Source organism: Homo sapiens, chromosome 21, assembly GCF_000001405.40.
Source record: "Homo sapiens chromosome 21, GRCh38.p14 Primary Assembly".
Lineage (NCBI taxonomy): Eukaryota > Metazoa > Chordata > Mammalia > Primates > Hominidae > Homo > Homo sapiens.
Window position 1 is genome coordinate 41,812,772 of NC_000021.9, and position 24,631 is coordinate 41,837,402.

A 24,631-nucleotide genomic window follows, 5' to 3' on the forward strand; every position below is an offset into this window, starting at 1 on the left:
GCCTTGGGAACAGCCACTGCCCTAGGGAACGGCCACTGTGGGGGATGATCGCCAGGGGAGAACTGGGGAGTGTGTTTGTTTCACCAGCCCAGACACCTTGCTCTGACGGCTGTCAGCGCCCCACCAGGCGGCACAGGACCCGTGTTCCCCGGAGCGAAGGGAAACGTGTGGCACGTAATTATGTATGTGGTCCACAGAGAGGGAGACAGGGAGGAGGCCAAAGGGGGACCAGCTTCCTCCTGGTGCAAGTGCTCACATCAGCTCACGTCTGGGGGGCTCTGGGGGGTCAGGGGCAAGCAAGAATAGAGTCCACGGTCTGTTTCACCCCAAAAACTGATGGGGAGGTGGACCCTATGAATGCCCTTTAAACAAAGGTTGCCCCTCAAAATGGGAACAAGACAAGTAATTTTTAAAGGCACTTAACTCAGTCCTGAGGGCTCACTGTGGAGCATGGGACAGAGGCCACCACAGCCCAGCGAGTTGGTGGGCGGCAGGCAGAGTGTGGGGTGTTCTGAGAACCCAGATGAGGGCATGTGGCCCAGTCTTGGGGAGCAAGAGTATCCCAAAAATGGTAAAGCATATACTGGACAGAGATTCCCCAGGAAAGAGATGGACAGTACACTTCTGCAGTCCAGGGGCAGAGGAGGCTGGCACGCCCGGCCAACCCAAAGCAGACCCGTGTGGCAACCCGCGCCACTCTGGGGAGCAGGGGAGGAAGGTAGGCAGGTGACGTGGGCTGGATAAAGGCAGGACCCAACGTGCAGTTGAGGGGCCCCCAGGGGGCACTGAACAGGCTCACGCCAGGGAACTTCACGCTGAGACACAACTCCACCACTCAGGGACAACCTCTCAATTCTGATGTCTCAATTTTCTCTCCACAAGCACAAAAACACTCGCCCATACAGAAGGGTTTTATGAGAATGGCCTTGTATTGGCATTGCGCAGGGTGCTTTAGTGTTTTATAACAATGCTTTGTGTTAGTGATTGCGCAGGGTGCTCTAGTGTTTTCTAAGATCTTGGCCTTGTGTTAGTGATTGCGCAGGCTGCTCTAGAGTTTTATGAGAACGCCTTGTGTTAGTGATTGTGCAGGGTGCTCTAGTGTTTTATGAGAATGCCTTGTGTTAGTGATTGTGCAGGGTGCTCTAGTGTTTTATAAGATCTTGGCCTCGTGTTAGTGATTGCGCAGGGTGCTCTAGTGTTTTATGAGAACGACTTGTGTTAGTGATTGCGCAGGGTGCTCTAGTGTTTTATGAGAATGCCTCGTGTTAGTGATTGCGCAGGGTGCTCTAGTGTGTTATGAGAATGCCTCGTGTTAGTGATTGCGCAGGGTGCTCTAGTGTGTTATGAGAATGCCTCGTGTTAGTGATTGCGCAGGGTGCTCTAGTGTTTTATGAGAATGCCTCGTGTTAGTGATTGCGCAGGGTGCTCTAGTGTTTTATGAGAATGCCTCGTGTTAGTGATTGCGCAGGGTGCCCTAGTGTTTTATGAGAATGCCTCGTGTTACTGATTGCGCAGGGTGCTCTAGTGTTTTATGAGAATGCCTCGTGTTAGTGATTGCGCAGGGTGCTCTAGTGTGTTATGAGAATGCCTCGTGTTAGTGATTGCGCAGGGTGCTCTAGTGTTTTGAGAATGCCTTGTGTTAGTGATTGCACAGGGTGCTCTAGTGTTTTATGAGAACGACTTGTGTTAGTGATTGCGCAGGGTGCTCTAGTGTGTTATGAGAATGCCTCGTGTTAGTGATTGCGCAGGGTGCTCTAGTGTTTTATGAGAACGACTTGTGTTAGTGATTGCGCAGCGTGCTCTAGTGTTTTATGAGAATGCCTCGTGTTACTGATTGCGCAGGGTGCTCTAGTGTTTTATGAGAATGCCTTGTGTTAGTGATTGCGCAGGGTGCTCTAGTGTTTTATGAGAATGCCTTGTGTTAGTGATTGCGCAGGGTGCTCTAGTGTTTTATGAGAACGACTTGTGTTAGTGATTGCGCAGGGTGCTCTAGTGTTTTATGAGAATGCCTCATGTTAGTGATTGCGCAGCGTGCTCTAGTGTTTTATGAGAATGGCTGTGTGTTAGTGATTGCGCACGGTGCTCTAGTGTTTTATGAGAATGCCTTGTGTTAGTGATTGCGCAGGGTGCTCTAGTGTTTTATAAGATCTTGGCCTTGTGTTAGTGATTGCGCAGGGTGCTCTAGTGTTTTATGAGAACGACTTGTGTTAGTGATTGCGCAGGGTGCTCTAGTGTTTTATGAGAATGCCTCGTGTTAGTGATTGCGCAGGGTGCTCTAGTGTTTTCTAAGATCTTGGCCTTGTGTTAGAGATGGCGCAGGCTGCTGTAGTGTTTTATAAGAATGTCTTGTGTTAGAGATGGCGCAGGCTGCTCTAGTGTTTTCTAAGATCTTGGCCTTGTGTTAGAGATGGCACAGGCTGCTCTTTGACCTGTCGCGTCACCGACTCCTTTCTATGCACATCAGCGTAGTACACACATCACCCGAGCGGACACCTTGCTCTTTTCTGGATTCACCATGGCTTAGCCAGTGCCCTACCGAGGCCACGTCTGACCTTCCAGCGCCTTCCCTAACTCAAAAGATGACAAGCAACCTTGCATGCACATCCCTGGCCCTTGTCTGGTCGCTATTTCTTGTGCACATTCCTGAGGGGGAAACAGCTGAACGGGAGGAACATTTAAAGACTGACCAGTCTCCCAATGCCGGAAGTGAGCTGTGCAGCATGCTCTCCGGTGACGAGGCCCCTGTGGGAGGGGGACCTTTTGAGATATGCAGCTGCTCACCCCGGCCCCAGGAAGCTCTCTTGGGGAACCCGGCACTCAGTGGGAATCACAAAGAGGAATCGTCTCAAGGCGGCTCTCTCTTCTCCCACGGCCCACCTGGCTTCCCTACACAGTGAGCGCCGTGGCTGGCGCGGCCCGGGCCTCGGACTCACCCGTGTGCCGCTTGCAGTGCTTGAGCATGTTGACCTTCTGCGCGAACCTGCGGTGGCACTCCTTGCACTCGTACTCCTTGATGCCCTTGTGCAGCTTCATGTGGTGGCGCAGCGCGTGCTTGGTCTTCATGCCTTCAAGGACACAGCGAGTCAGAGGCGGCCACACCCCCACGCAGCCCACCTGGGGGCCCATGCCCGAGACCCTGGGGCAGGCACAGGCAGCGGCCCGTGCGGTACTGGTGAGGGTGTGGGCCGGCCCCCGAGGATCCCGGTCAGTCCACCAGCGGTGAGACCTGGGAAGTGACTGTGCCCAGAGGCCGGGAGGGACTGACTGCAACATCAGGTTCACTCACTCCTGCCAGGGCCTGGCCGAGCCCTGACCACGCGAGCAACGCCGGGGCGGTGGGTAAACTTCCCTGCGTGCCCATGGCAACCCGGCGGGAGAATTCGGTGAGAGATAGATTAATACAAGCATGACTAAAGGTTCCCTTCAACCTTGACAATATGAGTGGTGATTGGGATTCGGACGCGAGATGGTTTCAATCTACCTGTAATTTAAGAAGCCAATCTTAAGAAGCTGAAATACTCCAAAGCCTCACTCACACAGCCAGTGGAGAGAGGGTGGCCCTGGCATAGGGGCTGAGTCAGAGGTTGTGGTGCGCTGGCAGGGACAGCACTGTACAAGGCCCTCCGCAGGGGGCACAGGCATGTGCGGCTTGGTACACCTGACCGTGAGGCTGACACGCACCAGGGAACAGGGCGACCCAGCCCAAAGGCAGCCTCCCCAGCCCCGAAGAGGCGCCTTCACTGTGCCTGCCCAGGGCGGTGGGCAGCCTGCACTCCCAGGCCACCGTGTTCCCTCCACATTTGGGGAAGAACTACTGAGCCTGAACACAGCTCTGTAGTAAGCTGGTCAACGGTTCCCCTGTGATTCCACCCTCACCAGATGCAGGGGTGACCATCCACCAGCTCCTGCCAGAATTCTAAAGGCCGGGCCAGAAGACCTCCCTGGCTACGAGAAAACTGCGCGGCTGGGCCAGCAGGGGGAGCAAAGGCCCCACGATGAAGCCCGCTGCCTGCACACACAGCTGCACAACTCCTGGCCTCGGGTGGGGACGGCACCTGCAGGCCTATTACCAATGACCGAAGAGTGATTCCACCTGAAAAAGTTACTGTCAATCCTTTTGATTAAAAAAAAAAAAAAGAGTGCCGGTCACTGCTGACACGCCCAGACCCCAGCACTTCCCTCTTCCTGCTTCTAAAATGAACATATTCCAAATTTCAAAACTAATACACAGTCACAGAAAACCCAGAAAATACAGAAGAGATGGCATCTCCACATTCTGACCTCCCCACCACAGCCAGCATTGGTGACAGTAATGTTTTTTCTTCCATTTAACAAAGAAAATCTGCCAACAGTTTCAAAATAAACACAACTGCCAGACAGAGGAAATTTTAAAGCTTGCTCTACTGGGATTGTGAGTCAATCCATTTACAAATTACCGTGGGGAAAACTGATGTTTTTTAAATACTTATAATTTCTAATCCCGAACAGGGGATGCCTTTTTTATAGCTTTCAATACCTGGTGTCATATTCTTACTGGCCACAGTAAGTTCTTGTAGATCATTCCTGAGTAGTTCAAGGCCCATGATGTGATTCTGAACAAGACGTTTTCCTCCACACACACAGAAAACCTACTGGCTGGGCCCCTGCCTCCACCTGCTGGTGACAGGCTCTCACGACTACTAACAGCCTCCCACTTGGTCCCTGACACTGACTAATTCCCTGGTCAGGGCTAGAATTTCTGGAAAAAAATGTAAAGTAATAATATGCAACAGTGTTTCTTGCAACACTGTAATAATAAATGACTATAACAAAACAACCAGAAACTTTATAAAATAAAGGGTCTGGTTATATGAATCGTACGAAGGGCTTGAAAGATAAAACCAGGCAATATTTACATGTTCCGATATAAAAAGATCTCCAAGACGTATTTTCAAGTAAAAAAAAAATAGCAAAGTATCAAAAAAACAAATGAGCACAAGCATGCGCTGGTATGTACTAGCAACTGTTGCGTGATAGCACGATGACAATACTGGAATTTGGTATTCTGTAAAATAAATCTGGCAACTGATGTATTAATGCCAGCATTTTATTTCAGCTATTCAGAATTCATTTTAAAAAACGATGCAACTAAATAATTAATACATTTCAAACACTAAAATGTCTACAACATTATAAAATGTGGCTTTACCCCACACCCCTTGCCTCCCAGGGCATCTGGTGGCATTTGGGGACCTGCAGGGGACCCAGGTGTGGCTCCTCTCTGCCTGCCTAAGAGGCCCGGCCCTGAATAAGCCCCCACCCCTGCCCCTCCTGTCTCTACGCGCTACTCAGGACCCCTCCAGCCAGGCTCACCACACTGTCTTAAACATTTTACTTCTTGGGGGCATTGGGGAGGAAAGGGGAGGAGCAGGTGGTGAAAGGGGCTGGGAGCTTAAGGCAGACGCGGATAAAGAGCAAGCCAGCCTGTCCCGCTAAGGCAGGCAGACACTGCTACCGACATTCTGTTCAGAGAAACCACCTGTCCCGCTAAGGCAGGCAGACATTGCTACTGACATTCCGTTCAGAGAAACCACCGCAGTGGCTCTGCGAGGACCGGCTGGGGTTTGAGGGGAGAGTAACTATGCCACCTTCCAGACCTGTTTGTATTGTTTAAAAAATATGTCTTGGCGAGGTGCATGCGCTGCTTTTTTAATAACCACCCATGTGCCGTCCTTGCGCAAAGTTACCCTGGAGGAGGGGCAAGAGCCTGTGCTGGCCTCTGAGGTGAGGAACAGAGGGCCAGGAAGTGGGGAAAGGAAAGACCCCCTTTCTGGCCTTTTCTGCAGGCAGTTCTTTTAGGCTTTGACACGCAGCGTTATTCTACGGGTGCTCATAGGGGTCACCCGGCGAGTGCAGTTCATGCAGCTCCTGTGTTTCCAACACACTGTCACCGGGACAGCATGAGCAGGGTCGCTTGAAACAGCCCAAGACAAACCTGCTGCTCCAAAACTTTTAGGAAGTTGTTTTAAAAAAAAAATAAAAACAGGAATGGGTTAAAATTATGATGTGTACTGGAATTATCTTTGTATTTTGCTTACTAAGTTGAGACATCTTATTACTAGGTTTGTTATTAATGAATGTTCTGTCGTTACAATGAAGATTCCTCGGCCGTGGTGAGTTTCTCTCTCACCACGCAGCCGATTCTAGTCTGCGTAGTGAATACGCTGAGGGTTTTGCATCTACTGTCAGACCCCGTGGTGGCTTTGGGAATCATTCTATACTTTAAACAATTAGATCCTGCATTATTTTCCTACTTTTAAAACGATTTGTTTGTGCCTTTAAATTTATCACATCTTTCTGCTTTCTGGACTACTTGATTTTTCTTGCAGATTCCTGATTTAAATGCTGCCTCGAGTCCTTCTTTCCTTAAGTAAGCGACTGAAGCCTATGGGCTTCCAGGGCCACACTCTGGCAATGCCTCTCGCACTATGGTAGATACCTTGGTCACATCCCCTTCCAGAGCCCTGCAGCTGGGCGGCCTGGCTGAGCCTGGCCCGTGGCCCCCAGCACCCACACCCACCTTTCCCACACTCCCAGTTCTCGCTCACATCCCCTCCCAGCGCCCTGCAGCAGCTGAGCGGCCTGGCTGAGCCTGGCCCGTGGCCCTGGCGCCTGTACCCACCTTTCCCACACTCGGCCCGTGGCCCCGGCCCCCGCCCCCGCCACACCCACCTTCCCCACACTCCCAGTTCTCGCTCATGTCCCCTTCCAGCACCCTGCAGCAGGGTGGCCTGGCTGAGCCTGGCCCATGTCCCCAGCACCCGTACCCACCTTTCCCACACTCGGCACACAGGTACTCGCGGACATTGTCGTGCACACGCATGTGCTCCTTCAGCATGTCCTTCCTGGCAAAGGACTTCCCACACTGCTCGCAGGCGTGGCTCTTCACACCTGAGAACACAGGCATCTGCCACTCAGAGCCGAGCAGCTCCGACCTGCAGTGGCTGCAAAGAGGATGCACCAAGGAGAGGGGCCCAGCCTCCCCAGCAGCTAGAAGCGCAGTAACAGGGGTGGGGTCGCCTCTTCAGCGGCCTCCACAGAGCCCTCCCGGGGATCCTGTGACTCCAGTAGATCCCTGAGGACCTGGAGGGGTGAGGGGGCTGGGGGCGCTGGGCTGTGAGTGGCAGGGCTGATAAGGACGGGAAAAGCTGGAGAAACAGAGGAAGGCATGGGGGAGGCAAGGTGCGACGGCTCTGTGTGTAGAATACGCGGAGACCCCCAGCATCCCTCCCTGCCAGCCCCCTCCAGCGAGGGCCGGGACCCCAAATGCTGACAGACACGCACCTGTGTGGATGAGCTTGTGGCGCTCCAGGTTCCCGATGCTGTTGAAGATCCGCCCGCAGATCTCGCAGGGGTGGATGTACCTGAAACCAGAGACAAGCTCAGGATGGCCGCACAGCCTCGGGGCTCCACGGCAGCGAGGGCACTTTCCCCAGCACCTTCATCTGCAAAGGTGAGGCAACAAGGTGCCACGGGGATGATAAAAGAAGCAGATATTTGAGCCTCTGCCACGGGCTCAATCGTAACCCCCCGAATTCCTACATCGAAGTCTTAACCCCGGCACTTCACAATGTGACTATGTTTGGAGATGGGGTCTTTGCAGAGGTGATTACATGGAAAAGAGGCCATCAGGGTGGTCCCTGACCAATCTGACCAGTGTCCTTATAAGAAGATGAGATTGGGCACAGACACGCACAGTGGAACGGCCCTATGAGGACACAGGGAGAAGACGGCATTTAAGGGCCAAGGAGAGAAGTGTCAGAGGAGGCGGCCCTGCCGCCACCGTGACCCCTGAGCTCCCGCCTCCAGGACTGAAGATGGTAAGTGTCTGTTGTTTAGGCTGTGCCGGCTGTGGTTCTTTGTTAGCGCCCCTGCACGGGACTGTTTAGTCACTCACTCAGCAGACCGCGCAGATTATGGCCTGTATGTCAGATGTGGCCTGGCATTAATGAAATCTAATTGTTGCAGGAAAAAGCATTTTGGGTCATTCTGTAGGCAGGGCAGGAACCCCGCTATTTTCCTGTAACATGGCCAGCTGGTGCCAGGAGACTATGCGGAAGCACAGGATAAACCCCAGCCCTGCTGCCCCTAGCCCAGCTGCCCCCGAGCCCTGCTGCGCCCCCAGCTCTGGCCCTGAGACCCAGAGGACATCACTTGTTGGAAGCTACAAATGGCTCCTTATAGCATGTGTCTCTTTGCAAGGAAGCATGTCCCCTCTCTCCTGACACAACCCGGGAGCCCCCGACCAGGCCTCACTTCTGCACGTTGGGGTCCGGCAGGTTTTCACGGTGGATGACCATGTGGGCGTGGTAGGTGGCCTTCAGTGCAAAGCGCCGGTTGCAGATGCTGCAGCCATAGCCCTTCTCCTTGTGCACCTCCATGATGTGCTTCAGGTACTCCTTCCCCCGGCCGAAGGTGAGCTGCGGGCCAGGTGGACAGGGCACTGCTGACACCCGCATGAGGTCCCTGGTCCTCTTAGCTAATGAGGTCGTGTCCACAAACCAGGGCACCCGACACGCCCTGAGAGCCCATGACTCATGCCAGGGTGGAAGGGACTCTCAGAGGCTTGATGGGGAACTTTTCCGAAGCCATAAGGCCTCATGCCCAAAACTCAAGAGCACGGGTGTCCTCGGAAACAAACCACCCTCCTTTTTGGAGAGCCCCTTCCATGCACAGGGGAGGCCTCGTGAGGGCTTCAGGCCTCAGCAGGGAGGAGGAGGGGGAGGAGAGAAGGGGAGGGGAAAAGGGGAGGAGAGAGGCGCCCCAGCCTGCAGCCAGCACAGCCACCTTCTAGGAGGCCGACCCCCACACTTCATGTGTGTTCCTGAACCGTGTCACAAGGCAAGTTCCTGGAGGGCGCCTGTGAGACCCACACAGACCGTCCCTGAGCACCAAGGTGACACAGGCTGGCCTTCCCAGGCACAAGTGATGGACAGGCACCCAGTCTGCAGTAGGACCACTGGCCGGAGCCTTTGGGGAGGGAGGGCTGCTTCCGAGATGCATGAAGGTGCCTGCTGTGTGGGGCCCACAGCCTTGAAACGACCACCTTCCTCTCCAGACCACCCAGGCACCGCGGGGCAAACCCGCCATACCTGGCACCGCTTGCAGCTGTACTTGTGAGGCTCCGAGTCTGCGCTCTCGTCAGAATTGTCATCGTTTTCTTCCGAGGAGATCCCGATCTTGCCGATAAACTCTTCCCTCTGGTGGTCATCCATCAACGCGATGTCCTGGAAAACAGCCACCACTTCCGGTTTCTAACAGCGCAGCAGACGCTTCACTCAGTTATCTACACCGCAGGGACGACCAATCATTTCCCCAGATGCAGAAGAAAATGCCTCTCTGATGCCCGTGGCGCCCTAACGAGCTACACTTGTGCCCTAGCCCATCCCAGCTTGTCCCCAGAGGTCCCCACCTAAACGCTAAAGCTGCCCTTGCTCTCCACGCCGCCCGCGGCTTCCTCTCACATGCGCCCAGCAAGATCCCAATCTGTGCCCAGGGCCAGGCACTGCTGGGAAGTCCCCCTAGTGAGTCTCCCATACCACCTGTTACTTTTTCAGTTCTTGATCAGCGCTTCTCCCAGCCTTTATCACACCCCAAGTCCTCCCTGCTCCCGGGGCTTCTGCTCCGTTCCTCTCTTTCCTCAAAGGTGGGGAGGGACACAGATGCCAGCACCGGGCTGAGAAGCAGCCACGGTGGGAGAGCAGTACTTCAAGCCTGGCAGTTGGGCCACAGGAGGTGAGGCCAATGCAGTCACAGAATTCATTTTGGAGAGATAAAATGCGACCAGTTGTCAACTATTTGAGGACGCTGCTGTGGTCTGAATACTTGAACCCTCCCAAATTCCCATGTTGAATCCTAACTCACCAGGAAATGGTATCAGGAAGCAGGGCCTCTGGGAGGCCATTAGGTCATGAGGCTGGAGCCCTCAAGATTGGGATTTGGGGTGGGGCATGGTGGCTCACGCCTGTAATCGCAGCACTTTGGGAGGCTGAGGCAGGCGGATCACTTGAGGTCAGGAGTTCAAGACCAGCCGGGCCAACAAGGTGAAACCCTGTCTCTACCAAAAATACAAAAATTAGCTGGACATTATGGTGGATGCTTATAGTTCCAGCTACTTGGGAGGCTGAGGCGGGAGAATCACTTGAACCCAGGAGGTGGAGGATGCAGTAAGATCTTGCCATTGTACTCCAGCCTGGGCGACAGAACGAGACTCCGTCTCAAAAAAAAAAAAAAAAAAAGAATGGGATTTGGGCCCTTATAGAAGAGATCCCTACCCTTCTACCATGTGAGGACACAGTGAGAAGGCGCCGTCTACGAACCAGGAAGTGAGCCTCGCCAGACACCGAATCTATGGGGGCTTTGGGGTCTAGCCTCCAGAACCGTGAGCAGCACATGTCTGCCCAGAAGCTGCCCTGCCCACAGAACTCTGCTATGGCTGACTGTGACAGACGCTGGCCTGGGGGCCTGCCGTGAGCATGCCTGGGTGAGGGCAGCACGCGATCGACACCTTGAAGTGGACATGGATGTGGTCCCTGAGCACATCCACGCGGAAGAACTTGCGCCCGCAGATCTCGCAGGTGTACTTCTTGTCGCCGTGGGTGAGCAGGTGCTTGTTCATATTGCTCCGGCAGGAGAACACCTGTGGCAGAGGAGCCGCATGGTGAGGGGCTGCGGCGTCTCGTGACGGGAAGGAGCCTCTCCATCAGGCTCCTCTGGGGAAACCACAACCCGGGACGGAAACACAGCACTGTGCTCCAGGCCTTGCATCTCCAGTTCCTCAGTGTGTGAGAGACACAAATAATCACTGATGCCGGAATAAGGGTTACTTGCTGAATTGTGTAAACAGGTGCTTACGTTACAATAGAAAATTGACCATTTCCTAGTCTTTATTATAAATGTTAGTTCAGCTCCATTTTTTTAAGCCCATTTAAATATTTCCCTAGGATGGACTACCAAGGAACCAGCAAACCACAGAAGTACCTGCAATTTTCTGAAAGGAGATATCAAAAAAGAAAGCTAGTTACCCCCTTGGCTTTTATACTGTGTTTAATGCACATTCCCAATGTCTCTGATTTCCTGCTCTTTCCAGCCTGGCATGATGGGTGTGGAGATGCACCCATTCATCCAATACGCATCCAAGGGGGTCACCTCTGTGACCAGGGCTGGGGTTGGCGCTGGGTGGTCCACATGACAGATGTGGCCCCACTGGCACAGAGCAGTGGACAAGGCTGGAAGCTGAGACCACTGCTAGGGCCCTAGAAACCCCAGCGCTCCACAGAACTCTGCGGGTCTCTATCTGGATGGCTATTCCCAGCGGCCACGTAATCCGGGGTGTGACCTCCTAAAGTTCGCCTGATGCCCACATTGTCAAGAAGAGAACAGATGAATGAAAAGAAATGAGTGATTCGCTAGGGAGAGGATGCCGGCATCTCCAGGCGACATCTCTTTCCAAGATGTGCAGATGACTTGGGCTGACAGCGCTGTGCCCCATCCCAGGGATGCTAGGTGGGGCAATGCGACAGGGTGAAAGGTGAGCAGGAGAGGACAGAGTCTGCAGATGTCATGGTCTTTACAGGGAAGACTGGGCTGAAGACAACTAATAACTGGAAACAACAAAGAATTCAGTCACCCAAACTACAGGCTATTTCACACCTGCCTCAACCCTCAGTGTTTATTCAATAAACACTGCACAGAATAAAAACCTGTTTGGATGTCAGGCACAGATTGTTTGCACAAACAATCTCTCAACAGCATGGAAGGCACTTGGAGCCGGTACCCCCCAAGGGGCAGAGGTCAGTGGACAGAAAGACTGGGGACGGGGGATAAGGGGCACAGGCTTCGCCCACCTCTGCCCTGTGCATAGCTGGCCCAGCTCGCAAAGTCACTCCAACTCACCTGCTCTACCCCAGCCCTGCCCCTCCAGCCCACAGTCCGGAGCCTCACCTGGACCCCCAGCCACACCTCCCTGCTCACTCATTTGCTCAGGCTTGCTCTGTGGTTTGAAAAAAATCAGGAAATTTCATATAAACACTGAGATTTCCATTTTCTCTTTAAAAGGTCAAAAGCTCGGTGATGGTGCTGCATGCTGGAAGGCAGGACGGCGGGGACGGTGACAGCGGGCCTCCTGCGGGGGCCTGTGCTCCCAGCTGCTGAAACGCTGGATGAGCGTCACTCCGGGGCTCACGTGAGCTGTGTGTGGCTGGGGCACCCTCCCCTCGGCGGCTCCTAAAGCCACTTGAGCGACGTGCTGGAGCTGCTGGGCCCAGAGCCCGCTTGGGAGCTGCTCAGAACCCTTACTCTGCAGCATGAGCTTTGCATCCTGTGAGGGACAGTTCCTAGGCCTCCGAGGACAGATGACATCTTACAGTCACCTGAGTGAAAGCTAAGTAACGAAGAAGTGATGCCACCTCCAGTCACAACCAAGGTGCTTCTGCACAGAACTTGGGGCCATGGCAGCCTGACAGCTGTGAGGACCACGGCATGGACCCCAGGCTCTCCCGGGACGCGCAGCGTGTTTGCTGGATGTTTAGGATCCAGCATCTCTGCCAAGCAGCCAGGTGTCTGAATCCTGAGCTAGTGCCAGGATGGCCCCCTCACCGTGCAGCCCTCGGATGGATGTGCTCCCATGGATGACATCACCCTTTCCTCTCTTGGGCAGCGCCGGGCATCCACTGAACGTGCCTGGGAGCACCTGCCATGGGATCGGCCATGCTCTAACTTACAGAACGCCAGCCATCCACTGCACGGAGGAGACCGGCACTGACAGGCAAAATAAAGCCACTGGGTCCCCCTGCGTCCTCATTCATTGTGCCCCAGTCCTGACCACAAGGTCACTGTCTCAACGATGCTATACAGGAGAGTGGGAGCCAGGGAGCAGCTCAGGAGGAAAATCATGGCAAAGAGGAAAAGAGGCTGTCCAGGAAGAATCCTTCTTTCTCAGCCCACTCACTGGAAACCCATCTTAAGTACCAAAGAAATCCAAATGGCAAGTGTTTAAAATGGGTGGACACCAGTTTAAGACAACCTGAGCACCCATCGTTACCCCCCAAATCTTCCCTGCAATATTCTATAAGTACAGCTCATAGAGTCTTAACTGAAGAAAATGATGTGCTTTCCATCTCAGCGTCCGACGTGGACTGCGAGCATTACCTTGCCACACACCGGGCACCCGGAAGGCTCCTTCTTGTAACGGACCAGGTTCTCCCCACCGGCCTCCAGGTCCTCTCGCTTCACTCGCCGCACTCCTGAAATTGCCAACCCCACCAGCAAGACAGTGAATACACATAGAACACGCGAAGGTCCATCAGATTCCACTTCAGCCAGCATCCTTTCCAGCGCACGGGAGGACAGGGCTGCCCACAGTGGGGACAGAAGCGTGGCAGTTTAAGTAACATCACTTGCACACTGTTTGGCATCAGCACTAACCACCATTCCTGAAGCAGCCCCAGGGAAGGAAGGGAGATGGCACAACGTATGTGGGATCTGCCGAGACAGTTCTCGCATCTGAAACATTTGGAAATATAATGGCATCGAGTGCTAAATGTTCCTAGGTGGCAGAGCTATGATGAGCTCCTATGGAAGAAGGCACTTCTAACTCCATCTAAAGGCTCAAAGCCAAGTTATGATTCTTATAGATAGTGAAATAGGCAGGCATTTTTTATTTAAAAGATACTAATATTCATCTCTCGCAAATTAACATTAGTCAAATCAACATCAGGCTGGTAAATACAACCTTTATGGTTTTGAGGCATATTGTTCCAAATTGGGATCAAGACAGACTTTTAAATGTTCATGCAAAACAGGTAAGTTTTGACCAAAAGAGAGAAACCCACTTCTCAGGATCTCTTTCTACACTGCCGACCCATTCTGGGAGCATTCCTGCCTGGCCAGGTGTAAGTGCAGAGTTGGATTTAAAAATGCTCAGCAAACTGGACGTTGGACAAACGGACCGTTCTCCAAAGGCTCCCAGCATGACAGACACAGGAGTCTGAGGCGCAGCTTAGACTAAGCTCCAGTATGAGGGACAAACCCATAAAACAGTCACAAAAACATGAGTTTACTCCCACAGAAGACGACCCGAGTTACATTAAACTGTAAAATGCAACCCAGCTACACTGTGTCCCTGGAAACAGCTGACTTCTGGCAGCATCCACAGTTACTGGCATTTATGGGCGCTTGCCATGTGCGGGGTCCTGTGTGAGAAGTTTCAAGAGCAGGGTCTGGTGCAACCATCACAGCAATGCTAGGGATTCAGGTCTGAGTACTGTCTCCCCTGCATAGGTGAGAAAACTGAGGCACAGTAGCTTGCTAAGGCTACCCAGTCACTAAGTGGAGTCCAGGTTTGATTCGAGAGGCCCTAAGTATACCACCCAAGGAACCACAAAGAAAAACGTTGTCGGTCTTTATGAATCAACATGAAGAAAAGAGTTGAGCAAAAAAGGAAAGTGCTAAAAGGTACACAGGATGCAATTCCAGCCTTGTTTTTTTAAAAAAGGGACGAAGGCACATGCGTATGCCTATTTGGACGGACATGGTTATACTTCATTTTTTATTTTTGTATATATTTTTTGAGATAGGGTCTTGCTCTGGAAAGCAGTGATGCAAGCACAGCTCACTGCAGCCTCGACCTCCCAGCCTCAAGCAATCCTCCTGCCTCAGCCTCCTGAGTAGCTGGCACTACAAGTATGTGCCACCATGCCCAGCTAATTTTTTGTAGAAGCAGAGCCTCGCTATGTTGCCTGGGCTGGTCCCGAACTGCTGGCCTCAAGCGATCCTCCAGCTGCAGCCTCTCAAAGTGCTGGGATTCCAGGCGTGAGCCACCATGCCCAGGAGGGTTCTACTTTACACAGGACTTTGTGGTCTCACATCTTCTTTTCAACAAGCATATGCTTCATTTGTAATTATAAAATAATTTTTTCCAAATTTTAATGAAAAGGTGTATGAAGGGCTGCTGCTCTTAGTTGCTCTTATACTGGTTTTTCCCACTTTCTGTCATATTGAAAGCATTTTTCACAATATCTAGTATCTTTGAAAAAACACTTCTAATGACAGTGAAACACTGGACCCCACAAATCGTCCAGTTTTCTTAGCTCCTTCCCCAGTGTGGAACATTTAGGGTATTTCCAGCTGTTTCTCCTTGCGCACAGCAGGTCTGACACCTGTGTCTCAGCAACTTACTCTCCTGAGACAGGTTCTCAGAAGAGGATGAGCCCATCGGATGGCGGGCGTTTCCAGGCAAAGGAGCAGGCGGCACCGAACTGCTCCCCAAAGGCCCTGCTGACTGCTCCATGCCGCCCTGCCCCACCCCGCAGGAGCTGCCTCTCCCCGCCCGCAGCAGGTGCGCAGGCGGCCTCACCTTCCAGGTGCCGGCGCTGGTGGTCCAGCATGACGTCCTTGCGGTAGAACATCTTGCTGCAGACCTCACAGGCAAACTTCTTGTCGCCGTGCTTCTTCTTGTGCTTGGAGAGGTTGCTGTTGGTGGAGAAGAATCTGAAACACATCTCACATTGGAACGTCTTGTCATCTGTCCAGAGAGCAAACAAACACACAACGATTTTGAGGTAAATAACATCTCACGCAGGCACGCACGTGTGGCCTGAACGTCAATAAAGCGCGGGTGACGGGCATGAGAGTCACGGGGATGCGTGGCCAGGAAGAAAACAGCACCTGTGTGTCATACACTGTCTACCCCAGGAACTCACGATGCAGAGACGGGAACCCCGGTGCTTGAAAAGCAGACACGGAGCTCACCTTTCATCACCAAGCAACGCCAGCCGCCTCCCTCCCGGGCCACCCTGCCCCACAGCACCTGGGGACGATGACTCCACTTCCGTCAGGAAAGCTGCCCAGTCCAAAGCTTCCCCTGGGCCTGCACCCTCCACCCAGCATGACTGACTGACAGATAGAATGACCTACCTACCAACCAACCAACCAACCACCCGAGCAACTGACCACCCGACCAATGTGGCCGCCCCTGCCCCCAGGATCCCTGGTGTTGGCCCCTCCCAACTCCTTCCCCGTGGGCGGGCATCAATGTGCCCATATTCCCCCCTTCACCCAAATCCTCCTCAGCACACACACAATCACACACCACACAAATACAAACACACTCAACACACACCCCCCACACAAATACACAATCACACACACCACATACACACACCACGCACACATGCCCCACACAAATACACAACCACACACACCACATACACACTACACACACACGCCCCACCCAAATGCACAATCACACACACCATACACACACCACACACACACGCCCCACAGAAATACACAATCACACACACCACACTCAACATACCACACACACATGCCCCACACAAATACACAAATACACAATCACACACACCACATACACACACCACACACACATACACATACATGTCACACACACCATCACACACTATGCAAATACATACACACCCAACACACATCACACACACACACATGCCCCACACAAATACACAATCACATACCACACAAATAATATACTCAACACACCACACAAAAACACATGCCCCACAAATACACAATCACACACACCACAAATACACACATATTCAACATAAACTACACACACAATACACAAATAACACCACACACAGAAGCCACAAATACTCAACACACCACAGATGCAAGCCCCACACAAATGCACAATTACACCACATACACATTCAACACATCACACACATATAATCACACACCACACAGATACACTCAACATACACCACATACACAACCCACAAACAGACATTCAACACACACCACATACACTATCACACACCACACAAATACACCTGCACTCAATACACACCACAAATACATTCAACACATACCACACATACACCCCAAATATACACACACCACAMAAATGTACTCATACCACACACACGAGCCCCACATAAATGCACTATACCACATACACACACATTCAACACACCACACACATATAATCACACCACACAGATACACTCAACATACACCACACACACCCCACATACACACATTCAACACACACCATATACATTATCACATACCACATACACACACACTCAACACACACCACACACAAATATACATTCAACACACACCACTCACCCCAAATACCCAATCACATACTACACAAATACACAGTCAACACACACCACATAAACATACACTCAACACATACTACACAAACACACATACTCAACACACCACAGAAATATACAATCATACAACGTACACCCACACATTCAACACACACACCACATACATACTCAACATACACCACAAACTCAACACACACCACACACAAAAATACACATTCAACACACACCCCACACAAATACACACACAACACACACATTCAACATACCCCCAACACAAATACACACATTCAACACAAACCACAATCACACCACACACTCAAMACACACCACACACACACCCCCCACACAAATACACACTCAACACACACATCCACATACATGCCCCACACAACACATACTCAACACATACACCACACACAACCCACACACAAATACACACACAACATACAAACACATACGCTCAGCACACCAAATACACACACCACACATAAATACACAATCACATATCACACACACCAAATACACACTGAACACATACCACACACATACACCACACACACACTGAACACATACCACACACACATAATACRCCACACCAAATACACACCACACACGAATACACACAAATCACACATACCACAAATACACTCAACACACACACCACACACCTCATATTCAACACACACCACATACACACAAACACACCACAGAAATACTCAACACACACACCACACAAATACTAAACACACACCACACAAATACATCCACATACCACACAAATACATCCACACACCACAGAAACACACAGCCACACACAGTCCATGAAGCTTCCAGAAACACCTATATCCCTGCATCCCAGACCTCATCTCCAGCCCCTCCTGGAAGGTAGCCAGTCAAACTGTGGTTTCGGCTCCGCCCAGGACACTGACAGCCCCCCAGTGCCATCTGTCCCTCTGACTCTCACACAGGCACCTCGGGGGTCCTCACTGCCCAGTCCCTCACCCTGCAGCAGCAGCCCCAGGTCCCCTCGCCCTGCCCCCATCCATCAGATGTCTCACCAGTTGACGGCGACCCCGGGGCCCAGCAGAGCTGCATTCTCCTCCCTGTGTCGCCAACGTGGGAGGACATGACAGCTGGGTGACCCAGGAGCGGGGCACCAGAGCAGACTGCACTTCTGGGCCCCTGGGCTCTCACCCATGGACCAGCTCCCAGGCTCAGTGTTTGCCAAATATACAAATCCCCAAAACTGCACTGAAAGCTGCCATTTGTGCAAAGCAGCCGCCCTGCGCCTGTCCCTCTCTGCTGCCCGAGGGAGCCGCCACAGAGTGTCTCAGGGTCCCCCTGTCTAGGGTTTCCCTGCCTCAGCGTTTTGGGCCAGATCCTTTGTTGTGGGCCACCCTGTGCACCGTGGGATGCTGAGCAGATACCGGGCTTCCACCCAGTAGGTGCCAGGAGCACCCCTCCCCACCAAGGTGTCTGCAGACATTGCCGACAGCGTCCCTTGGGGCAAACGCCCTCCACTCTCCACCCCCGCCAGGTAGAGATTCACTGGCCAGGGCTCACAAAATGAGACTCTCTGGGGTGGGCCTTGGGCCTCCGCATGTGTCTGGCCTCACTCAGGTGATCCCAATGTGCAGCCCAGGTTGGGGGTGAGGGAAGCAGACAACCTCCCCCGGGAGAGCCAGGCGCTCTCAACTCCTCCCAGCTGGGAATGGACAAGGCATGGCCGACAGCGAAGACAGGAGACAGCAGTGGGGAAATCTATGCCCCATGGGTGCCACCCTCAGGACAGGGGAAGCGCTGGGAGGGGACAGTCCCCTCCCACAGCTCCAACCACGGCAGGACAGTGGGAGGTGGCCTCTGCCAGGGCTGAACACAGTAGAGGTGGCCCTGTGCGAGGCTTCTCTGCCCACATCCCACCCCACCTGCAGCGTGACCTCAGCCCAGAGCCAGCCTCACCTGGGCCATAAGAGGAGCACCGTGACAGATGCTACGCTGAGTCCCAGCCTAACATACTGCTTGCCTTCCTTCTATAAAGTGAAACATTATCCATACAGCCACTGCCCTCAGTTTCGTTTTGGCTTAAGATTTGATGGGCTCTGTCCGGATCCACACGACCGCATGGTATGTGTCCTTCACACACTGCGTCTGAGGCGTGCGTGTTTACAGTGCTGGACGTTTTCATGATCACTTTAATGGCTACGTGATATTCCATCCAGCTCACTTCTCAAAACTCACTTTGCTATTTTTGACACTGTAGATAATTTAGTGATGGAATCTTTAGTAATGCAGATTTTTTTCTTCTGTCAAATCTCTTTATCATGAATTCTTAGGAATGGGACCACTAGAGCCAAGCGCTTTGTGAAAGGCCACACCTTACAGCGCTGTGGCATCAGATTGCCACAGGCCACACCTTACAGCACTGTGGCATCGGATCACCACAGGCCACACCTTTACAGCACTGTGGCATCAGATCACCAGAGGCCACACCTTACAGCGCTGTGGCATCGGATCACCACAGGCCACACCTTACAGCACTGTGGCATCAGATCACCACAGGCCACACCTTTACAGTGCTGTGGCAACGGATCACCATAGGCCACACCTTTACAGTGCTGTGGCATTGGATTGCCACACTCCCCTCAACCTGGGCCTCCTGAACAGCATAGGTGAGCCTCCCTCCCAGCCAGGCACTAAAGAGCACAGGTGAGCCTCCCTCCCGGGCAGGTGCTAAAGAGCACAGGTGAGCCTCCTTCCCAGGCAGGTACCAACCAATACAAGTGAGCCCCCCTCCCAGGCAGGTGCAAATCAGCACCCATGAGCACCCCCTCCTGGGCAGGTGGCTCCACTAGTCCTGCCGCCCCGTGGAAGGCAATGGTGCTGCCAAGAGCTTCAGCTTTCTCCCTCACAAGCCCCTCGTGACCATGGAAAGAGAACCTACTTCAGGCCACTCCCCAGCTGTCCCGGACAACTCTGCCAAGCCGAGGGTGGCTTCTCCCGCAGCCACCCACTCACTGCCAGTTCAGGAACCCACAGGGGCACTGGGTCCCAACAATGCTTCTCCCTCCAATAACCCTGCGCCGAGGGGATCTAGGTTTATGTCTGAATAAATGAGCCACTGAGAACAGCTGCCTACTGGGGTCTGACGAAGGGAGAGGGGTGCAGGGCACCTGGGGATGGAGAGGGGATTATTGGGGGAGGCTGGTGGGCCGCATTTTGCCTGAGGGCCTGGACGTGAGCCTTTGCTATTCCGTAGCACAGTACTTATGGTCAGACACAGCACAAGGAACACGAAGATGAGTTACACCAGCACCTGGTCACACCACAAGGGACAGGCACCACAACAGGTCCCATGGAGGGAGCTTCAGAAAAACCCACAAGACTGTAACATTTTAAAACTGCCCCCCACACCCCTCTCCAGGGTGTGCTATGAGTCCTCGAGAGAGGGTGACACAAAGGCAACAGTGACCCATCCCTCTGTGCCCCGCTGGGGACCCCCACTGCTTGGGCCTCCAGTGCCACCCACCACTGGGAATGGGGAAGGCGTGACTCCCACATTCTTGGTTTAATTCTTGGTACAAATTCTTGGTTTAATTGTCTAAGGAAGATACACATTCTCTTAACTTCAATACTATAAATAAGTATAAGAGCATGCAAATCATATATTATGCAAACAAGCTCCATTTCAAGGTTTTTATCCTTTCTGTTCAGTCTAAAACGGGTAACCTTTGAAACTAGAACATCTCAGGGGAAGAGGTGGTGCGATGCAGGTCCCTGGCGCTCTGCGGGTTCTAGGTGACTAACAAAGGCCAGCACCTGGCCTAACAGCACCTCTGGCTGACAGGAAGCTGCTGCTGCCTTAGCCGCTTCTAGTACTTTGTTTTATTTGGGTCCAGAGAAATAGTTGAAAATATCAGAGGGCAATGCCTCTTCCTCAACCTTGAGTCTGCCTCACCAGAGCGCCTTAGCTGGTAGCATCACTCTTGGGAACCCCGAAACCCTCGCCTGCTACACTCCTGCAGGACTGCGGGGACCCCAAGGGGAGGTTCGCAAACAAGATGAAGGTTCATCTGTCTGGCCGGGGCTGCGTTAAGTGGAAGTCTTCAGGGGACTGTGCCCCAGGTTTCTTGGGAATTCTTGTGATAGGAGGGCTTAAAATGCAGGAGGTGCGGCACACTGGAAATTCATCCAGAAGCTTCTGGAGGCCACCTCATGCCAGACATGGATCCTTCAGAGCTGCTAAAGCTTAGGCAAAACATGACTCATTCCTGCCCCTCAGAACAGTCCAACCCCAGGAAGAAGGCATCAGGGAGGAAGAACCAAACCCTGGTTTCAAATAGGAGCCCTCAGAGTAGAACTAGCCAACCCCACCAAGGGCCCCCCGCGCCCAGCAGCTACGGCAAGGGAGCAGGGCCTCTCACATGGCCCATGTGCGACAGCCCTGGTCAGAGCCCCTGGGAGTCCGCTGCTGCAGGTGCCCTGTTCTCAACACAGGGGCGGGTGGCACCTTAACAAGAACAACACAGAGATGCAAGTGACAGACACAGAGCAGGCGGACAAGGACGGGGTGGGCGTCGAAGGCTAACCTGGTAGGTCTCTAAGCCGACTGCCGCCGGGCCCCCCCTCTCCAGGGTGTGCTATGAGTCCTAGAGAGAGGGGGACACAAAGGCAACAGTGACTCACCCCTCTGTGCCCCGCTGGGGACCCCCACTGCTTGGGCCTCCAGTGCCACCCACCACTGGGAATGGGGAAGGTGTGACTCCCACATCCCAGAGGGTGCACGTCATCACTGCAGAATACAGGGGCGTCCTCGGGCCACGTGGAGAAGCGCAGCCGGCAGGACGGCCTTGGCTTTCCTTTGGTCTGTTTACTTGCCAGCAGCAAATTCGGCCAGAGAGACAGGGGCCTCAGACGCCCCCCAGGCCCGAAGAGGCCACCTCTCCACTACAGGCTGGTCCAGGCACACCCGGCTTCAGGCCTCACACAAGGAAAATGCTTTATTTTTGGAAGCTGGTGCACACAAGCAGGCTCAGAACAAAAAGAATGCGTGCAGGGGCAACCCCGTTCCACCCTGGACGCCGCAGGAGATGTGGATGGAGGAGGGCTCGCGGTTAGGAACAACCTTTGCAAGCAAGCGAGGAGCGCTCACACTCCTCCAGCCATTATCCTGATCTTTTCCTTTCTTCCTCAGACGGCCCTAGAAAACATTGGACACTGCTGCTCCCTGTTTTTAGCCAGAACGGACCCCGGCTTTACAATGCTCTCAGTGTGGGGCCATACGCAGCTCGGCTGACAAATGCAGGAAGAAAATCAATCCCTTTTTACTGGAAAGTTTCCATCTGTGTATCTTTAGGGTAACAACTGCTTTGAAGCAAAATGGACAGAGGGAAATGTTAAAAGTGAGGCTGTCTATTCATGAAAACAATCTTTACTTTGGCCTAAAGTTCCACGGTCTCCGCGGCGTATCTAGAATCCGTACCGCACAGCGGCCGAGGGGAGACGTGACCGGCGCCCTCACCTGTCCTGCAGTTGTGGAACTCCAGCGCGCTCTCGATGCGGAAGGTCTTCTCACAAGTGCCGCAGCGGTACCTGTACTCGCCGTCCACCTGGTCAGAGGGACACGCCGTGAGTGAGATGGCCCAGCGCAGAGTCCACAGATGCCGAGCCCCCGACGTGCTGCCCGGGCGACTCCACGCCTGTGTCTGTTATGACTCTGACCTCCACCACCCTCCCGCTCTATTTAGGAACACAAAGGATGTTTGCTCTTGCTGTTCACCTGCCCTAGAAAGGGAACTCCACACTCAGGGAGCCCCACTCCAAGCACCAAACACCCCCATTCTCCTGACTCTTCCTGCTGCGCTTGTGGGCATCTGACCAGGACGAGGGGCTGACAGGTGGCCCAGGGACGCCAGGACACCCACAGCCTTCACCCGCTCTCATCCCTCCTGGGACTCTCCCTTCTCAGGGACACCTGGGCACCCACAGCCCTCGCCCACTCTCCTCCCTCCCCCACAGGGTTTGGCCGCTCTCCTCCCTCCCCCACAGCCCCCGCCCACTCTCCTCCCTCCCCCACAGCCCCCGCCCACTCTCCTCCCTCCTGGGATTCTTTCTTCTCATTACAACATGGTGATTTGGTCAGTTGTCTGTGTTGTCCACACAACTGGGAAGAGAACCCTGGGCTTGTTTCCACCCACCTCGTTCCTGCTGTGCTTGTAGGAAACGTGCTGCTTTAGGCTCTCTTTGCGGCTGAACAATTTTGCACACTCTTCGCACTTAAACAGCTTGTCACCTGAGGAACCAACCAACAGAGAGCTCATTCACTACTTAGAGCATTTACCGAGAGAAGCATGCCCACCGGGGAAATGCCCCACAAGCCGCCTCGCTCCCACCATGCGAAGGAGCTGCAGAGATGATCGCCCACAAATGCAGCCTCTCACTGGCGCAGCTCGTGGGAGACGACCCAAGGAGGGGAGACTCCGTGCTGTCCTCCCACCCCCAGCCCCAGTCCTGGCCCTGGCCCCGGGCGCCAGCCGGGCCTCGCGGACTCACCATGCGAGCGCACGTGCCTGCTCAGGTTGCTGCTGTTCTGGAAGATCTTGCTGCAGATATTGCACTGGTAAACCCGCTTGTGCTCCCCGAGCTGTTTGATGAGCTTGCGCCGGATGCCGTGTCTGCTTGAGAGAATTAAGCTCCTCTTGAGCGTGATGGTGTTATTCTGATGATGGGTGAACCTGCCCAGGGACGTCAATAAGTTGGGAAAAGACAGGTGGGAAAAAAGTTCCAGGTTACAAGCAGCATGAAAACGGCCTCCTTCCAAAACTTCCCAGCTAATCCCGAGCCTGTATGCGAGAAAGGAGGGAATGCGCCCGGGCGTCACTCCCAGCTTCCAGGGCATCTGAAAGGGACACCTTGAATATATAATGACATTAGGCAGCTTTAGCTGCAACAGCCACACACCTGACTCTGTTCTAACTCTGGCCACCAGAAAGCCTGGAGGTCAATTTGTGCCTCAATTAGAATAACCACACCTGTTTTCTGCTCCTGTCACTCTGTCTTAACTCTTCTCTGTTTTACATATTATCTGAACCTGATTTTCAAAACTTCTTTTCCCTGTTAAATGTATTTTTGATGGTAAGCCACCTGAACTCTTCTGGGCAATAAGATAAAGTATAAATAAATAAACAGGTAACATCATTTCTGATATTACTTTTGCCAACTATAAGAGGTGATCCGAAAAGGGCCAAAAAGAAGTGACCACCAACTTACTCAACTCCATGGTAAAAATGACCCAAGAATCGTAACTAAAACACAGGGCAAGCTGTTATATTTACTGAAATTCAAATAGCAAAGTATTTTACCACAGCAGCGTCACGAAAGCTAGAAGCAACCCAACTGTCCATCAATGGATGCATGGAAACACAAAATATGGGGCATATGCATGATGGTATATTACTCAGTGTTGAAGGAAATTCTGACACAGGCTA

At 53.0% G+C, this 24,631-nt stretch overlaps 1 protein-coding gene across 25 annotated transcripts in view, besides 5 other annotated features; it reads right to left on the reverse strand.

Moving 5' to 3' along the window:
- PRDM15 (PR/SET domain 15) overlaps positions 1-24,631 on the reverse strand; it is an 81,120-nt gene that overhangs the window by 14,547 nt on the left and 41,942 nt on the right. For 9 of the 25 annotated variants that reach the window (XR_007067792.1, XM_011529675.2, XM_011529674.2 and 6 more), the window contains 12 exons: positions 23,697-23,878; positions 23,342-23,436; positions 22,666-22,753; positions 21,734-21,793; positions 15,395-15,562; positions 13,189-13,283; positions 10,547-10,678; positions 9,132-9,266; positions 8,296-8,459; positions 7,324-7,403; positions 6,811-6,930; positions 2,934-3,065 (listed from right to left, as the gene is read on the reverse strand). Coding sequence is in view for 20 of the 25 variants with exons in the window: in XM_011529675.2 (XP_011527977.1) it covers positions 2,934-3,065; positions 6,811-6,930; positions 7,324-7,403; positions 8,296-8,459; positions 9,132-9,266; positions 10,547-10,678; positions 13,189-13,283; positions 15,395-15,562; positions 21,734-21,793; positions 22,666-22,753; positions 23,342-23,436; positions 23,697-23,878 (1,451 nt within the window). In the remaining 5 variants the exon portion in view is untranslated. The remainder of the gene's footprint in view (positions 1-2,933; positions 3,066-6,810; positions 6,931-7,323; positions 7,404-8,295; positions 8,460-9,131; positions 9,267-10,546; positions 10,679-13,188; positions 13,284-15,394; positions 15,563-21,733; positions 21,794-22,665; positions 22,754-23,341; positions 23,437-23,696; positions 23,879-24,631) is intronic. The other 16 variants (NR_135464.2, NR_104260.1, XM_047440938.1 and 13 more) reach the window with 5 other exon arrangements.
- Positions 4,085-4,134: an enhancer, noted in NCBI's record as "active region_18485". NCBI's record gives its function as "activates an Ori minimal core promoter by ATAC-STARR-seq in GM12878 lymphoblastoid cells {active_cell/tissue: GM12878}" and the evidence as "EXISTENCE:reporter gene assay evidence [ECO:0000049][PMID:35858748]".
- Positions 8,249-9,448: an enhancer, noted in NCBI's record as "CDK7 strongly-dependent group 2 enhancer chr21:43241376-43242575 (GRCh37/hg19 assembly coordinates)". NCBI's record gives its function as "activates an origin of replication core promoter dependent on BRD2, BRD4, P300/CBP, MED14 and CDK7 cofactors, with strong dependence on CDK7, by STARR-seq in HCT116 cells {active_cell/tissue: HCT116}" and the evidence as "EXISTENCE:reporter gene assay evidence [ECO:0000049][PMID:35650434]".
- Positions 20,708-20,777: an enhancer, noted in NCBI's record as "active region_18486". NCBI's record gives its function as "activates an Ori minimal core promoter by ATAC-STARR-seq in GM12878 lymphoblastoid cells {active_cell/tissue: GM12878}" and the evidence as "EXISTENCE:reporter gene assay evidence [ECO:0000049][PMID:35858748]".
- Positions 21,558-21,677: an enhancer, noted in NCBI's record as "active region_18487". NCBI's record gives its function as "activates an Ori minimal core promoter by ATAC-STARR-seq in GM12878 lymphoblastoid cells {active_cell/tissue: GM12878}" and the evidence as "EXISTENCE:reporter gene assay evidence [ECO:0000049][PMID:35858748]".
- Positions 23,493-24,200: an enhancer, noted in NCBI's record as "H3K27ac-H3K4me1 hESC enhancer chr21:43256373-43257080 (GRCh37/hg19 assembly coordinates)". NCBI's record gives its function as "activates a minimal SCP1, AML or CMV promoter by ChIP-STARR-seq in naive H9 embryonic stem cells {active_cell/tissue: H9 hESC(naive)}" and the evidence as "EXISTENCE:reporter gene assay evidence [ECO:0000049][PMID:30033119]".